Source organism: Homo sapiens, chromosome 8, assembly GCF_000001405.40.
Source record: "Homo sapiens chromosome 8, GRCh38.p14 Primary Assembly".
Taxonomy (NCBI): domain Eukaryota; kingdom Metazoa; phylum Chordata; class Mammalia; order Primates; family Hominidae; genus Homo; species Homo sapiens.
The window spans coordinates 33,509,653-33,527,655 of record NC_000008.11 but is presented as its reverse complement, the minus strand read 5'-3'; the positions used below and the strand labels follow the sequence as shown (position 1 = coordinate 33,527,655).

The 18,003-nt window shown below is 44.0% G+C and overlaps 1 protein-coding gene, 1 non-coding gene and 1 pseudogene across 6 annotated transcripts in view, besides 3 other annotated features; 1 reads left to right on the top strand and 2 right to left on the bottom strand.

Annotated features, from left to right (window-relative positions):
- LOC100630919 (thymosin beta 4 X-linked pseudogene) lies at positions 3,983-4,560 on the bottom strand (annotated as a pseudogene).
- Positions 12,540-12,829: an enhancer, noted in NCBI's record as "active region_27221". NCBI's record gives its function as "activates an Ori minimal core promoter by ATAC-STARR-seq in GM12878 lymphoblastoid cells {active_cell/tissue: GM12878}" and the evidence as "EXISTENCE:reporter gene assay evidence [ECO:0000049][PMID:35858748]".
- Positions 13,870-13,919: a silencer, noted in NCBI's record as "silent region_19098". NCBI's record gives its function as "represses an Ori minimal core promoter by ATAC-STARR-seq in GM12878 lymphoblastoid cells {active_cell/tissue: GM12878}" and the evidence as "EXISTENCE:reporter gene assay evidence [ECO:0000049][PMID:35858748]".
- SNORD13 (small nucleolar RNA, C/D box 13) lies at positions 14,078-14,181 on the bottom strand. Its single transcript, NR_003041.1, has one exon. It is a non-coding gene; the product is annotated as a small nucleolar RNA, C/D box 13 (small nucleolar RNA).
- Positions 14,350-14,489: an enhancer, noted in NCBI's record as "active region_27220". NCBI's record gives its function as "activates an Ori minimal core promoter by ATAC-STARR-seq in GM12878 lymphoblastoid cells {active_cell/tissue: GM12878}" and the evidence as "EXISTENCE:reporter gene assay evidence [ECO:0000049][PMID:35858748]".
- Positions 14,521-18,003, top strand: part of TTI2 (TELO2 interacting protein 2) — a 14,414-nt gene continuing 10,931 nt past the window's right edge. For 2 of the 5 annotated variants that reach the window (NM_001330505.3, NM_001102401.4), the window contains exons 1-3: positions 14,521-14,574; positions 14,944-15,689; positions 17,724-17,910. In NM_001330505.3, coding sequence (NP_001317434.1) covers positions 15,043-15,689; positions 17,724-17,910 — 834 coding nt within the window. In that variant the 5' untranslated portion in view covers positions 14,521-14,574; positions 14,944-15,042. Of the gene's footprint in view, positions 15,690-17,723; positions 17,911-18,003 lie in introns of all 5 variants that reach the window. The other 3 variants (NM_001440381.1, NM_001265581.2, NM_025115.5) reach the window with 2 other exon arrangements.

The following is an 18,003-nucleotide window of genomic DNA, read 5'->3' as shown; positions in this document are numbered from 1 at the left end:
CATGCCTGTAATCTCAGCACTTTGGGAGGCTGAGGCAGGTGGCTCCCTTGAGCCCAGAAGTTTGAGACCAGTCTGGGCAACATAGTGAAACCCCACCTCTACGGAAAAATATATATATTAAATTTTTATTTTAAAAAATTTTATAGCCTCATATGCAAAAGAATATAGTGGTTCCCTCAATCTTAGCAGGCATTCAAGGATGATAAATATTGTAATATTATTTTTCCATTTGGCCTATAATCAGAAAAGTAGCTCTGCTGCAAGCAGTAATTATCTTACTGTGTGTTTCTTTATTTTTTTATTTTTTGAAACTGAGTCTCATTCTGTTGCCCAGGCTGGAGTGCAATGGCACAATCTCGGCTCACTGCAACCTCCACCTCCTGGGTTCAAGTGATTCTCCTGCCTCAGCCTCCCAAGTAGCTGGGATTACAGGCGTGTGCCACCACGCCTGGCTAATTTTTGTATTTTTAATAGAGACGTGGTTTCATCATGTTGGTCAGGCTGGTCTCCAACTCCTGACCTCGTGATCGGTCCCCCTTGGCCTCCCAAAGTGCCGGGATTACAGGCGTAAGGCACCGCGGCCAGCCCTTACAGTGTGTTTCAAACTCCTATTATTAACCATGTTTAGACCACATGAACCTTGAAAGCTGTAGTTGGTGTATTTGTCACGCTTCAATTCCATTAGTTTGTTATTCGTAGAATGAAGGGGAGCAAATACTTCCTTTTTTACTTTCTCTCACTTTTGTTTATCCTTATGAAGAAATCTTCATCTAAAATTGTTGATCATATGGTCTTTGGAAAGCTAAGACGTATTGCTTACCATTTAGTCATCAATTCCCAGGAATTTATTTCAGCCTTCCGTTTCTTTTTAAAGGAAATACTTTAAAATGTAATCTTTATCATAATCACATTCATACATAATTTTACCTAACTACCTAAATATAGTAACATATATGCTTTGTAAAAAAAAAAAAGTGCTTTTTTTTCTTTCCTTTTGTTTTGCTGAGCCCCCCATCTTCCTCTCCTCCTCCCTTCCCCTATGTCAACACCATTTGCCCAAGGTCACCCATCCACACCGAGAACCTGGGATGTATCCTCCCATGTTTCCTCTTTACTCAGGTAATCTTATACCTACACATATATATATGAGTCTACACATACAGAGCATTCACTTCTTTTTTGAGGGGAGAGGGAGGACAGAGTCTGGCTCTGTTGCCCAGGCTGGAGTGCAGTGGTGCGATCTCAGTTCACTGCAACCTCTGTCTCTCAGGCTCCAGCGATCCTCCCACCTCAGCATCCCAAGTAGCTGGGATTATAGGTGCATGCCAGCATGCCCAGCTAATTTTTTGTATTTTTGGTAAAGACAGTATTTTGCCATTTTGGCCAGGCTGGTCTCAAACTCCTGACCTCAGGAGATCCACCTGCCTTGGCCTCTCAAAATGCTGGGATTATAGGCATGAGCCACTGCACCCGGCTGAGCAGTCACTTCTTAAATCATAGTTTTGTAAACAAGCACTCATGGTATCTTTATTATTATTTATTTATTTATTTATTTATTTTTGAGACAGAGTCTCACTCTGTCGCCCAGGCTGGAGTGCAGTGGCACAATATTAGCTCACTGCAACCTCTGCCTCCCAGGTTCAAGTGACTCTTGTGCCTCAGCCTCCCGAGCAGCTGGGATTACAGGTGTGTACCAACACGCACAGCTAATTTTTGTATTTTTAGTAGAGATGGGGTTTCACCATGTTGGCCAGGCTGGTCTCGAACTCCTGACCACAAGTGATCCACCCACCTCAGCCTCCCAAAATGCTGGAATTACAGGCGTGAGCCACCACACCTAGCCTGTTAAATCTTACATTCACCATTTAACAGTACCTTATGGAAACCTCTCCTTGACATCTGGCTTAGCTCCATGTCATTCTTAAAAAAAAAAAAAAAAAATGGCTGGAGAATTCCCCAGTGTGGATGTGCCATCGATGAGCAAGCTTTCACTGTTTTCACATTTCTGCATTATGAATAGTGATGTGATAAACCTACTTCTTTATCTTTATGGTCTTGAATCCATATCCTTACATATGGTTATTTGCATTTGCTAGTTACAGGAGAGTTGCCATTGAATTTATTATTCTTTTTAAGAGATGTTGCTTTCCAAAACCTTGAGGAAGAGAGTCAAGAAAAGAAAGGCAAACTTGAACAGAAATGCCTACTCCATGAATTTTTTTTTTTTTTTTTTTTTTGAGACAGAGCCTCACTCTGTCGCCCAGGCTGGTGGGCAGTGGTGTGATCTTGGCTCACAGCAACCTCTGCCTCCCAGTTTCAAGCAATTTTCCTGCCTCAGCCTCCCAAGTAGCTGGGACTACAGGCACCCACCACCATGCCCGGCTAATTTTTATATTTTTAGTAGACAGGGTTTCACCATGTTGGCCAAGCTGGTCTCGAACTCCTGACCTCAAGCAATCCGCCTATCTCGGTCTCCCAAAGTGCTGGGATTAGAGGTGTGAGCCACCCCGCCTAGCCCCTACTCCATGAGTTTAAATTGTGAGGATTGAATGAGGACATAGGTACAGTGTAAAGACCAACCTGGCTGATAATATTTTTTGTTCTCTAAAGACTGTGGGCTCCTTTAGGTCGCCAGCAGGGCCTCTGATGAGTGCCATTTATGTGGTACACAGTGACAGTGATGTTCCAGGATTGTGTAACTGAAAGGTTTAGAAAGAAAGGGTGGAGCCATGAAAAGCACAGGCTTTGGAGTCAACAAACCGAAGTGTAAGTTGCAGCTCTACCACTTTCCGCTGTGAGATCTTGGGCGAGTTACTCAACTTCTCAGAGCTTCAGTTTCCTCCTCTGCAAGATGGAGATAATGATGCGAGTCTGAGAGGGTTGCCTTGAGGAGGAAGTGCATGTAAGGCCCTCAGCAGAGTGCCTGGTGCTCATTAAATATGATGGGTTCTTTATCAGATGTCTTCCTTATAGTTCTTTCCAGCTATGTATCAGTTTCCCCTCGTCAGATGAAAACCTGTTGAATGCAGGAACTGTATCTAATTTATCTTTGCATCTTTACATATCCAGTCCCTAACTTGGTTTTTCCTCCTACCAACTACCTCCAGGTCTTTTGTTCTGCTAAATAAGCATTGATTGAAATAAGGGCAATAACAACAATTTTTTTGTTTTTGTTTTGTTTTGTTTTGAGACAGCAACCTGCTCTGTCACCCAGGCTGGAGTGCAGTGGTATGATTACAGCTCATTGCAGCTTTGACCTCCTTGGCTCAAGCGATCCCCCCACCACAGCCTCCCAAGTAGCTGGGACCACAGGCATGTGCCACTAACGCCCGGCTAATTTTTTTATTCTTAGTAGGGATGAGGTCTCACTATGTTGCCCAGGCTGGTCTCAAACTCCTGAGCTCAAGTGATCCTCCCACCTCAGCTTCCTAAAGTGCTGGGCTTACAGGCATGAGCCACTGTGCCCAGCTAATAACAACAACTTTTATTATGGGCAATTTCAGAGTTACACTAAAGAAGTGAGATTAACATAGAGGACATCTGTGATCCATCACCCAGCTTCTACAGTTGTCAAGATGTTGATAATCTTTTTCATCTAGCTATTGACCACTCCTTCACCACCATCCCCTGTCATGGAGAATTTTATTTTTCAAGTTTTTAAACTTTTTATTTGCCTATTTTAAAAATTGAACCAGGCGCGGTGGCTCACACCTGTAATCCCAGCACTTTGAGAGACCGAGGCAGGTGTTGAACTCCTGAGGTCAGGAGTTCAAGACTAGCCTGGCCAACATGGTGAAACCCCCGTCTCTACTAAAAATACAAAAAAAAAATTAGCTGGGCATGGTGGCAGGCACCTGTAATCCCAGCTACTCGGGAGGCTGAGGCAGGAGAATTGCTTGAACCTGGGAGGTGGGGTTGCAGTGAGCTGAGATCGCACCATTGCACTCCAGCCTGGGCAACAAGAGCAAAACTCAGTCTCAAAAAAAAAATTATGCATTCTCATAATTAAAATTATTTGAACAATAACCACAAAAAATGGCACTCTGATTAAACTGCATTTTACAGCCTGCAGGATGCCTTGGGCCAGCTTGGTTTTATTCTAGATTTCACTGCTATCCTACCACACTTCTTCCTTCACCAAAATGCAAGTTCTTTCCTTCCCTGCCAGCCAGACAGGCGGATAAGAGAGGCTGGCACAGCCATCATCATCAGCAGTTCTTTGATGTGAAAGGGGCAGCACAGTCATTTAAACTTGATTTGACCTCTTTGCATCCTTCAAAGTTAAACAGCTAAAAGAAGTAAAATAGAAAGCAATGCTTTGTGGAATGAACAGTGCATATTGGCGATGCACGCCTCATTACGAAGCCTGCTTGCTTCTCCTGTTCGATCCATTCCTTGGAAGGCTGTGGATTTTTCTCTTGCATTTCTGTCTTCTTCAGTTTCGACTTACTGAATTTCTCGATCTCATCCATATTGGACTTGTCAGACATAGTCACAGAGGAAGCTGAGCAATGCCCACTAGCAAGTGGAATCTGGTCTGCTTAGTGTCTACTGCCCAGTGTTGGGAATTTTAAAACAAATCCCAGACATTGCATCATTTCAACAATTAATACTTGTGTGTGTTTCTAATAATACTTCACAAAGTGTGGTCTGGATTCCTGGGACTTACCAAGACCCTGTCAGGCAGCCTGCTAAGTCAAAACTATTTTTATAACAATATTAATATATTGTTTATCTTTTTGTTCTCATTATCTCGTGTACAGCAGAATTTTCCAACACAGATTGAATGCAGCCACAAATCTGAAAATCCAGCTGTCTCCTATTAAACCAGATATGACAGAGTTGCAAATTTTTACAAATCTATTGACAAAAGTGTAAAACAATATCACTCGTCACGATGCTGTTTGAAAAATATACTTATTTTCATAAAAATAAGTCCTTAACATGTAATATGTTTATTATTACTATGTTTTTTAAATTTTATTTTATTTTTTCTTGAGATGGAATCTTGCTCTGTCACCTAGGCTAGAGTGCAGTAGCGCAATCTCGGCTCACTGCAACCTTCGCCTCCTAGGTTCAAGCAATTCTCTTGTCTCAGCCTCCCAAGAAGCTGAGACTACAGGTGCTTGCCACCACGCCCAGCTAATTTTTAGTAGAGATGAGGTTTTGCTATGTTGGCCACACTGGTCTTGAACTCCTGACCTCAGGTGATCCACCCACCGCGGCCTCTCAAAGTGCTGGGATTACAGGCATGAGCCAACGCACCAGACCTGTTTTTAAAAATCAAATGAGTATTTTAAAAATTTTTTCAGTTTTAATTTCTAATGTAGAAAATAATCCATTTATCTGAATATTTACGCATCACACATAAAGAAAAGCTCTTTGGGGTCCTTAATACTTCTAATATATATATAGAGAGAGTTGTCTTTTTTTTTTGAGATGGAGTTTTACTCTTCTTGCCCAGGCTGGAGTGCAATGCCTTGATCTTGGCTCACCGCAACCTCTGCCTCCCAGGTTCAAGTGATTTTCCTGCTTCAGCCTCCGGAGTACCTGGGATTACAGGCATGAACCACCACACCCAGCTAATTTTGTATTTTTTTAATAGAGAGACGGTTTCACCATGTTGGTCAGGCTGGTCTTGAACTCCCAATCTCAGGTGATCCACCCGCCTTGGCCTCCCAAAAAAGTGCTGGGATTACAGGCATGAGCCACCACGCCCGGCCAATACTTCTAAAATATTTTTGAGATTTAATTCATAAACCACTAGATTCACAATTTTATTTATTTTTAATTATTTTAGAGTTGGGGTCTCACTCTGTCTCCCAGGCTGGAGTGCAATCGTGCATTCATGGCTCACTGCAGCCTCAAACTCCTGGGTTCAAGCAATCCTCCTGCCTCAGTCTCCTGAGTTGCTGGGATTACAGGCACATACTGCCATGACCAGCAGCTTCACTGTTTTAAAATGTACACCTCAGAAACAAAAAACAAGAAACACAAAAAATAAATAAAATATACACCTAATGGTTGGGCACGCTGGCTCACACCCATAATCCCAGCACTTCGGGAGGCCAAGGTGGGCAGCTCACTTGAGGCCATGAGTTTGAAACCAGTCTGGCCAATATGACAAAACCTTACCTCTAATAAAAAATACAAAAATTAGCCGGGTGTGGTGGCACAAGCCTGTAATCCCAGCTGCTTGGGATGCTGAAGCAGGAGAATTGCTTGAACTCGGGAGGCAGAGGTTGCAGTGAGCCAAGATTGAACCACTGCACCCCAGCCTAGGTGACAGAGTGAGGCTCTGCCTCAAAAAAATAAAAAATAAAGTGTACACTTCAGTAGGTTTTGGTATATTTGTAAGGTTGGGCAGCCACTGCCACTAGCTAATTCCAAAACCTTTTTATCACCCCAAAAGAAAACCCTATACCCATTTTAGTCCCTTCTTTTTTTTTTTTCCTGAGATGGAGTCTCACTCTATCACCCAGGCTGGAATGCAGTGGCGCGATCTTGGCTCACTGCAACTTCTGCCTCCCGGGTTCAAGCGATTCTCCTGCCTCAGCCTCCCGAATAGATGGGACTACAGGCGCCTGCCACCATGCCCAGCTAATTTTTGTATTTTTAGTAGAGACAGGGTTTTACCATATTAGCCAGCCTGGTCTCGAACTCCTGACCTTGTGATCCGCCTGCCTCGGCCTCTCAAAGTGCTGGGATTACAGGCATGAGCCACCGCACCCAGCCTATTAGTAACTTCTAAATATCCCCTCCCATTATCTCCTGGCAACCACTAATGTACTTTCTGACTCTACAGATTTGCCTATTCTGGGCATTTCAGATAAATGGAATCATACAATATGTAGCCTTTTGTTTCTGGCTTCTTTCACTTAGCATAATGTCTTCAAGGTCCATCCATGTTGTGGTATGTATCAGAACTTCATTCCTTTTTATAGCTAAATAATATTCCATTGTATGTATATACCACATTTTGTTTACCCAATCATCAGTTGACTTTTGGGTTGTTTCCACTGGATATTACAAATAATGCAGCAATGAACATTTGTAGCCAAGTTTTTGTATGAATACATGTTTTTAGTTCTCTTGGCAATATATCTAGGAATAGAACTGCTGGGTCCTATGGCTAACTCTATGTTTAACTTTCTAAGAAACTGTCAAACTGTTTTACATAGCAGCTGCACCATTTTACATTTTAATCAGCAATGTATGAGCATTCCAATTTATCTTCCAATTTCTCTACATCCTTGCCAAAACTTATTTTCAGTGTTTTTCATTCTAGCCATCCTAATGAGTATGACTCAATAATTTTTAAGAGTGTAAAGGATCCTGAGACTAAAACCTTTCAGAACTGCTTTTCTGACTAATAGCTTTCAAAAAAACATAAATGTGCTAACATTATCAATTTAAAAAATTAACAGTGATTCCACAAAATTGTGTAATACTAGGATAATCACATTTGCCTGGGACAAATCCAGTTTACACCTTTGTCCCAGCACAACTGTTAATAGAGCCTCCTTGAACTCTCAACATATTCTGCTTAGATGACAAATTATATGAACACCCTAATAACTAATCTATATTCACGTTTCCCTGATTGTCTTAAATATGTCTTTTTACAATTTGGGTGGGTTTATTTTTTATTTTTTTGTGGAGACAGGGTCTCACTTGTTGCTCAGGCTGGTCTAGAACTCCTGGGCTCAAGCATGAGCCACTGCACCTGGCCTATAATTTATTTACTGAAAATAAGATCTGGGCCGGGCGCAGTGGTTCACACCTATAATCCTAGCACTTTGGAAGGCCGAGGCATGCGGACCACCTGAGGTCAGGAGTTTGAGACCAGCCTGGCCAACATGGCAAAAACCCATCTGTACTAAAAATACAAAAATTAGCCGGGCACGGTGGCACATGCCTGTAATCCCAGCTACTTGGGAGGCTGAGGCAGGAGAATTGCTTGAACCCAGGAGATGGAGGTTGCAGTGAGCCGAGATCATGCCACTGCACTCCAGCCTGGGCAACAGACCAAGACTCCGTTTCACAACACCTTGGGAGGCCAAGGTGGGCGGATCACCGGAGGCTGGGAGTTCGAGACCAGCCTGACCAACATGGAGAAACTCTGTCTCTACTAAAAATTCAAAATTAGCTGTGCATGGTGGTGCATGACTGTAATCCCAGCTACTCGGGAGGTTGAGGCAGGAGAATCACTTGAACCAGGGAGGTGGAGGTTGCGGTGGGCTGAGATCACGCTGTTGCACTCCAGCCTGGGCAACAAGAATGAAACTCTATCTCGAAAGAAAGAAAGAAAGGAAAGAAAAAGAAAGAAAGAAAGAAAGAAAGAAAGAAAGAAAGAAAGAAAGAAAGAAAGAAAGAAAGAAAGAAAGAAAGAAAGAAAGAAAGGGAGAGGGAGAGGAAGAAAGAAAGAAAGAAGAAAGAAAGAAAAGGAGGGAAAGAAAATAAGATCTGGTGGGGCACAGTGGCTCACGCCTGTAATCTCAGCACTTTGGGAGGTTGACATGGCAAGAAAGCTAGACCTTGCCTGTAAAAAAGAAAGAAAGAGAGAGAGAGAGAGAAAGAAGAAAGAAAGAAAGAAAGAAAAAGGAAAGAAAGAAAGAATATGCAACATTGTTAGTTGAGAATATTTTAGAACTTTTAATCTATATCAGTTCTCATCCTTGGCTTGACTGATTATATCATCTTGGTGTCTTTAAAAAATTTATTTATTTATTTATTTATCTTTCCTTGAATATATCAGTGGAATTTGTTGGCGTCTTTTGTTTCTTTGCCCTTCATGTTTCTTGTCATTTGGTAGTAGACCTAAAAATTTGATTAGATTTAGGGTCCATTTTTGGGCAAAAATATTTCATAGGTGGTGTGTACTTCCTACCTTATTCCATTAAGAGGTGCCTGGCTGCCTTGCTTTTAGTGATGTTCGATAAATCAGTAGTTCAGTTATAAAGTTCCCCATCAACCTTCACCTCATAATTGTAATCACAATGGATGATAGTTGCCTTGTCTCAATGTTTCATTAGGAGGTGTGAATAGTGACTTTCTAATTCTACCATTTTGTTGCATTTATGACCCTTACGAATGATTTGGGTACCCTCGAATAGACAGAAGAATAAATGCTTGATTTTTTTCCTTTATATATCAATTCTCAAAATAAACATTTGTTTTCTTAAGTGATCCAAAGATGAATGATTAGTGATTTTTTTTAGTATCATTATGAACTCATGGATTTGTATATATTTGTTTTAATTCATTACAGTCATTACTCCTCTACAAGACCAGTGCTGTAATCCGTGAGCTATAGGGCCTTGGGTTGTTTTTGTTTTTGTTTTTGTTTTCACATCACCTCAGCAGTATTTAATAGCTACCTTGCTTTCAGGCATAACAAAATGCCACAGGCCCACCTTGTGTAATTCCTGCCCTAGTTCTGAAATCAATCATTTCCTAAAGCCTCACTGGTTCCTTTTAGTGGGAAATGGCATTTAAACTACAAATTTGGACATCCAGGTGCTCACAGCCATTAGACTGTCATTCTTCTTGGCCTTTCAGTGGACACAACTGGGATATATATATGTATATGTGTGTGTATATATATGTATGTATATGTGTATATATACATATATAAATTCATACCAACATTGCCAATTCTAATTTCAGATTACAGATTTGTTTACTCAAATATGTGACTCAATCAGATTACAGAATTTATAGCTAACTTAATTGATTTGATACTAGTATCTCTTTTATCTTTCATTGAAAATCTGGGTTTCTAATAATATTGTTACTTGTTATCTTATATACATATATAAGTTATACAAAATACATGTAATAACACCTAAACAGGCCAGGCGCGGTGGGTCGAGCACTTTGGGAGGCCGAGGCAGGTGGATCACCTGAGGTAAGGAGTTCGAGACCAGCCTGGCCAACGTGGTGAAACCCCGTCTCTACTAAAAATACAAAATTAGCTGGGCAAGGTGGCACATGCCTGTAATCCCAGCTACTTGGGAGGCTGAGGCAGGAGAATCACTTGAGCCCAGGAGGCAGAGGTCGCACTGAGCCGAGATCGCACCACTGCACTCCAGCTTGGGCGAAAGAGGGAGACTCTGTCTCAAAAAACAAATAAACAAACCCAAAAGAAACACACCTAAACAATATTAATATTACCAACAGTATACCATTATTAAATGCAGTTGATTTTTTTCTGATTTTAGGCTTTGTCACACTAAGGATATAGAGTCAAATTAATGAGTTTTACAGTTAATTTGTGTGGTTATGCCAGTGACTCAATGTACTCTTTATTTCTTTTCTTTTAGGAAATGCTTTGTTATTTTCTTTTAAAAAAATAGTTATGTAGGCTCTTGAGCTGCTTGCTTTGGCCCACTCTTGCCCTGAGGAGTATACTTTCATTTTCAATACGTCTCTGCTTTTGTTGCTTCAAAAAAAAATAAAAATTATGTGGCCGGGTGCGGTGGCTCATGCCTGTAATCCCAGCAATTTGGGAGGCCGAGGCAGGTGGATCACGTGAGGTCATGAGCTGCAGACCAGCCTGGCCAACATGGTAAAACCCCATCTCTACCAAAAATACAAAAATCAGGCGTGTGTGGTGGCAGGCGCCTGTAATCCCAGCTACTTGGGAGGCTAAGGCAGGAGAATCACTTGAACCCGGGGTGGCAGAGGCTGCAGTGAGCCGAGATCGCACAACTGCACTCCAGCCTGGACTGGAGTGAGGCTCTATCTCAACAACAACAAAAAAATTTACATGAATCCAAAGTTGAAGCTATTAAACACAGTGTATACAGAGAAATCTAGCTTCCATTCCTATTTCCTTCACCCCGTTCTTTTCTTACCTATAACCATTTTTCTTAGTTTATAATTTACACTCTATTGCATCTTTAACATGTAAGCAAATGCACACATCATTATTTCTATTTTCCCATCTTTCTTACAAGAAAGGCAGCATTTCAACACGTGTGAAAAGGGGGAAAAATAAAAATAAAGGCAACATACACATGGTCTCTGTCCTGCTTTTTTCACTTAACAATACATCCTAGATTTCCAAGGCAGTCCACAGAGATGGTTCTCTTTCCTCTGTGCAGCGGCATAAAACTGCATTGTGTGGATATACATAGTTTATTCAGCCAGTCCTCTGTGGATGGATGTGTGGGTTCAACAAACATTTATTGCATGACCAAATTGTGCCAGGCACTGGGAATAAAGACGTGGTCTCTGGCTTCAGGAAACTCAGAAGTGCAGATGGGGAGATCTCCACAATACAAGTGCTTTCCTTATAAGAAGTAATAGCTTGGGTCCACTTAGCACAAGGGGCACATGGAACAGGGAAGAGACGCTTGCACACAGGAGGGACACAATAACTGTCTATTTATTGGCATCTTGCTTCCACTTGGGCCTGCAAACAGGAGAGTCCCCTCGGGAGGAGATGGTTACCAGTGGTTGAAATTGCTTAAAAAATCATGAGTGCCACCAATTGGTCAGAGAAGGGAAAGCTGAATGAAAGAGGCCGAGAGGGAGGGTCCTAACCACAAAATTACCCTGGAAAGAGGAAATGTAACAACACAGGAGCTGTGGTTTAACATGAGCCAACACCTATGTAGAACTTTCTGCTGACCAGATATTGTTCTAAGCAGTTTACATATAATTCCTTTCTCACAACACTCCTAAGTGGTACGAATTATTACTACCTGCATTTTTCCGATAAAGAAATTAAGGTGGCTGGGCGAGGTGGCTCACGCCTGTAATCACAGCACTTTGGGAAGCCAAGGCAGGTGGATAACTTGAGGTCAAGATTTAGAGACCAGCCTGGCCAACATGGTGAAACTCCGTGTCTGGTAAAAATACAAAATTAGCTGGGCGTGGTGGGTGCCTGTAATCCCAGTTACTCGAGAGGCTGAGGCATGAGAATCGCTTGAACCTGGGAGGCAGAGGTTGCTATAAGCCAAGATCACACCACTGCACTCCAGCCTGGGCGACAGGGAGACAAGAAAGAAAAGAAAGAAGGAAGAAGGAAGAAGGAAGAAGGAAGGAAGGAAGGAAGGAAGGAAGGAAGGAAGGAAGGAAGGAAGGAAGGAAGGAAGGAAAAATAAAAGAAAAAGAAAAAAAAAATTAAGGCACCAGCGAGGTGGGTGGTTCACACCTGTAATCTAAGCGCTTTAGGAGGCCAAGGAGGGAGGATCGCGAGGCCAGGAGCTCGAGATTAGCCTGGGTAATACAGCGAGACCCCATTTCTACAAAAAAATTAGAAAATATTAGTAGGGTGTGGTAGGGCGCGCCTGTGGTCCCAGTTACTGGGAGACTGAGGCGGGAGGATCGCTTGAACCCAGGAGTTTGAAGCTGCAGTGAGATACGATGACGCCACTGCACTCCTGCCTGGGCCACGGAGCAAGACCCTGTCTCTAAAAAAATATTTTTTAATTAAATAAAAAATAAAAAGAAATGAAGGCACAGAGAGGCTACCGAACTTTTGCCCAAGGTCAGACAGCAAAATGGAAAGAAGGGCAGGCGAGTAGGCAGCAAGACACCGCAGATGGGACAGTTGCAAGTAGTGCACCAAGAAGCTGGTGCGCTCCCCAAGGTGGGACGAAAATACTGTATGTCCCTCTACCCCATAACCACCTCCTCGCGAGGACAAAGGACACCTGACACGTCACCCCTCCCTCGCCCCTGCGCGCACACACGCCCCTCACCCTACCCCAGGTCAGAAGACCCCGAAGGGCTTTCTCTGGACTCCTGGAACCCTGGAGGCGCAATTGACGCCTTAGAGGCTGAATAAGAGTCCCTCTCCGAGCAGCTGGCGACACGTCTCTCTCGCGCCACCCCTCCCAGGGTCCGAAGCTCCCGCCTGTGCAGTGGCACAAATGAAGTTTGCCTCCTCGGGCTCCTGCGAAACCGTGGAAGCTATGAGAGTCACAAGGTCCTAAATGGAAGCAGCTCCTCGGGAACTGAAGGCCAATCGGACGCAATTCTACCCTCCAGGAAAGCGCAGGAAGAGGGAACAAGCAATGCCGACGCGGCGTGGGGGACCCAACACAGGGCGGTCGCACAGGCGCGACCCTTCTCGCGCCTTCTCAAAACCCAAGCAAACACCACTGGTTCCTACACCCGCCGAGCCCGAGTCTGCAGCCTCCAGCTCCCCTGGCCCGTTCCGGGCGCCGCCTGCGACCCATGCCCAAGACAGCGCTCTGCTGTCCCTGCGCACCCGGCGCCGACACTGGCGGGGCGGGCCCAAGCCGGATCCGCCAACCCGACGACCCACCTCCCTCAGGGCTGCCCCAGACGCCAGCTGGGGGCTTCTACCTTGACGCTAGAATTTGAATTTTCAAACGCTTGTGGCTACAGGCTTTAAAACGCTAGCTCCAGAAACCAGCTAAAGTATTGCATTGAACAGAAAACCAAATACCGCATGCTCTCATTCATAAGTGGGAGCTAAACATTAGGAACACGTGGACATAAAAGTGGCAACAACAGACACTGTGGTCTACTAGAGGGGGCAATGAAAACGGGCTAAGCTGCACTCCAAATCCCAGCATCCCACAACATATCCAGGTAACAAACCTGCGCAGGTATCTCCCAAACCTAAAAAATTAAAGCCATTAAAAAGCTCTGCATTGGCCAGGCGCGGTGGCTCACGCCTGTAATCCCAGCCCTTTGGGAGGCCGAGGCGGGCGCATCACGAGGTCAAGAGATCGAGACCATCCTTGCCAATATTTATACAAAAATTAGCTGGGCGTGGTGGCGCGCGCCTATAGTCCCAGCTACTCGGGAGGCTGAGGTAGGACAATCTCTCGAAAACCGGAGGTGGGGGTTGCAGTGAGCCGAGATCGCAACACTGCAACTCCAGCCTGGCGACAACGCGAGACTCCGACTCACAAAAGAACAAACACAAAAACACATTACACAGTTGGACAACGGAAAAGCACCCGTGCGTGTAGCATACAGCCAGAAAAAAGGGCACCCGAAAACGGTAAACACAAAGCCATGAAACTAGGCCACCTGTTATCATAAGTAACAAGCCCACAAATACAAGTGTTAAATCGATCCTTGAAGTTCAGGTCAGACGGGTAATGTGCCCACGTCGTAACAAGGTTCAAGGGTGGCACATCTCACACAAGCGTATGAACACCCAATCATCACGCTCATGAACTACAAAAGGATCATCTTATAGTTGACATTAAGGAGTGCCAAGTATGTGCCACTAATTTACACATAGGGTGACTACCGTAATGCGATACATCCATTCTTCACGTATAAAATCCTGGATATTTTCAAAGTCCCACTGAGATTCTGTGATTATTCTTTTGTTTCTACCTTAGCAAAGGAAAACAGAAACACAATTAGCGAGCGGATTATTATATATGCAAATTTATTCTCTATAGTTCCACCTCTCCGTCATTTTCCCGAGCCTGGATCTTTATTGCTTTACGACCATACGTCGTGAAATAAGAAGGTGTTGCGGCAGTACTGGCGGAAGCTAGCCTTGCGTTTTGCGGCAGCAATATGAGCTAGGTCCGGATCCTGTTAGACACCGGCGGGCGCGAGCCGTTGCAGGTACCTGGGGGTGGTTAAGTTGGTGACATGGCTCAGAAGTTTATTTCTTTAAATTTTTAAGTTTTTTTTCTTTTTAGTCTTCAGAAAGGCAACAGTAGTCTTTTAACGTCACTGTTAAAAGTGTAAGACTCTTTTACTCCCTGAGAGTCCCCTTTCCCTTTCTTGCGTCCTTTCCTCTTTATTCTTTTTTTTTTTTTTTTTTTTACTGAGACGGAGTCTCACTCTGTCGCCCAGGCTGGAGTGCAGTGGCGCGATCTCGGCTCACTGCAAACTCCGCCTCCCGGGTTCACCCTTTCTCTTTATTCTTATCCCGGTCAGACTCGCCCCCTCCTCCAAGACATCTCTCTGTTTTATTTTATTTGATTTTAGTTCTCTTTGGGTGATCGCTCCTTCCCTCTTCAACGGATCCCTCCCCGCCTCCATCCTCGTTCTGTGGGAGAGACCAGCCTTCTGGTGCTGCAGTCAGGAATGGAGCTTGACAGCGCTCTGGAAGCCCCATCGCAGGAAGACTCTAATTTGTCCGAGGAGTTGTCTCACTCCGCCTTTGGACAGGCCTTCTCCAAGATTTTACACTGTCTTGCCCGCCCGGAGGCACGACGAGGCAATGTAAAAGATGCAGTTCTTAAAGACCTCGGTGATCTAATAGAAGCCACAGAATTTGATAGGTTATTTGAGGGGACTGGTGCACGGCTCCGCGGAATGCCGGAGACACTGGGGCAGGTAGCAAAAGCCCTGGAGAAGTATGCAGCCCCCTCCAAGGAGGAGGAAGGTGGAGGTGATGGGCACTCCGAAGCGGCCGAGAAAGCAGCCCAAGTTGGGTTACTGTTTCTTAAACTGTTAGGGAAAGTTGAGACTGCTAAGAATTCCCTGGTCGGCCCTGCATGGCAGACGGGCCTGCATCACTTGGCAGGACCCGTTTATATTTTTGCCATCACACACAGCTTGGAGCAACCATGGACCACTCCGAGATCTCGGGAAGTTGCTAGGGAGGTGCTCACCTCACTGCTTCAAGTTACTGAATGCGGTTCTGTGGCAGGATTCCTACATGGAGAAAATGAAGATGAGAAAGGGAGACTTTCGGTGATACTAGGGCTTCTCAAACCCGACTTGTATAAGTGAGTACTCCTGCCCTTTGCCACCGACTTGAGCCTCACAGTTTTTTATTTTTATTTTTTATTATTTATTTATTTTCGAGACAGAGTTTCACTCTTGTTGCCCAGGGTGGAGTGCAATGTTGCGATCTCAGCTCACTGCAACCTCCGCCTCCTGGGTTCAAGCGATTCTCCTGTGTCAGCCTTCGGAGTAGCTGGGATTACAGTTGCCCGTCACCACGCCTGGCTGATTTTTTGTATTTTTAGTAGAGACGGGGTTTCACCATGTTGGCCAGGCTGGTCTTGAACTCTTGACCTCAAGTGATCCACCCGCCTCGGGCTCCCAAAATGCTGGGATTACAGGCGTGAGCCACTGCGCCTGCCCTAGCTTAATTTTTTATAGCGTTATACCTCAAAGGAAGCTCAATTTCTTCAGCAGTAAAATAAGGGTGCTGTAACCACGGATCTCTTAAGGCCCAGAAACGTTGTGATTTGCTATAAATGACATAACTGGATAGTGGCAAATTGGAGGTCATAACTGAGATGTTCGGGCTCAGTTGTCCAATGCTCTTTCCAGCCCTTAGGACGACTGCCTAGGAAAATTGGAAATTCTGTCCCACTTACTTGGAGTTAATAATTACAAAATGTGGCCGGGCGAGGTGGCTCACTCCTGTAGTCCCAGCACTTTGGGAGGCCGAGGCGGGTGGATCACTTAAGGTCAGGAGTTCGAGACCAGCCTGGCCAACATTGTGAAACCCCATCTCTACTAAAAATACAAAAATTAGCTGGGCATGGTGGTGGACGCCTGTAATCCAAACTACTCGGGAGGCTGAGGCAGTAGAATCGCTTGAAACCAGGAGGCAGAGATTGCAGTGAGCTGAGATCGGGCCACTGCACTCCAATCTGGGCAACAGAGCAAGACATCGTCTCAAAAAAAATTACAAATTACTAGAATTTGGATGGGGGATTTAGAGAGGATTTAAACTTATGGTTTGAATTTAGACTTGGGGATCTTGAATCTCATTACTGCTTGTTAGAGAAGGATGACTATCAGCTAAGAAAGCCATGTTTAGGATAAAAAGTGAAAAGCACCTTTAGATTACTGTTAGCTGAAGTTCTTTCAATGAGTTTCCACTTGCTACTTTGTTAGCACTGGAGTAATGAGAGAAAAAGTATCTGTAACTGTCATTTTACCAGGAACACGGAATTAAAAGGCTTGATTTTGAGTTTCGTGCTTCTATTTGTTGCTCTGAGTAGGACCAGATTAGACAGTTATCTGAATCTGTTTGTTTCTAATATAAAGATAATATACTTGGCGGAGTGTGGTGGCTGACACCTGTAATCCCAGTACTTTGGGAGGCCAAGGCTGTCAGATCACTTGAGGCCAGGAATTCAGGACCAGCCTGGGCAACATGGTGAAACCCCGTCTCTACTACAAATATAAAAATTATCCGGGTATGGTGGTGCAAGTGTGTAATCCCATCTACTCGGGAGGCTGAAGCAGGAGAATCGCTTGAGCCTGGGAGGCGGAGGTTGCAGTGAACCCAGATGGTGCCACTGCACTCCAGCCTGGGCAATAGAGTGAGACTCTATTTCAAAATAAATATAATGTACCTATTACACAGTAATTATTTTGAGAATTAGTTAAGTCGTGTGTACACTCACTTTATTAGCGATTAACAGGTGTTCAAGTGTTGATTCATTTGTTTCCTTAGTGTAATACTACTAATCCATTTCCTTTACTCCTCCCTCCCTTCTCAACATACCTTCACCATCCATCACCATAAGTCCTTTATGTAGCTCTGGTTATAATTGACTCCTTCTCATTGGATAGGCTGTAGACCCAAAGCCCTGGATGATTATTTGGTGTAAGTTATGGAAGTTATTTTAATCCAGATCTTAGAATGTATGATATAGAATCAAGAGTTATCTTATGTGCGATGTATTTTTTTTTTCAAAGACATGAAAATACTCTGTTTAGCTTGAAGTAGTTTTTTTTTTTTTTTTTTTTGCTACTTATCACCATGTCACTTAATGTAATTCTATGTATTCACTTAGGGAATCCTGGAAGAATAACCCTGCCATCAAACATGTTTTCTCATGGACTCTGCAACAGGTCACTCGGCCCTGGCTGAGCCAGCATCTGGAAAGGGTACTTCCCGCATCATTGGTCATTTCAGATGACTATCAGACTGAGAACAAAATCCTGGGTGTACACTGTCTCCATCACATTGTGCTTAATGTGGTAAGCAACCTCTGGCTTGTCATCTGTGTTGACAGGACAGACTGAGTCATTCCTGGCTGTTCTTCATTTCTAGTAATGCTAAGTCATTCAACT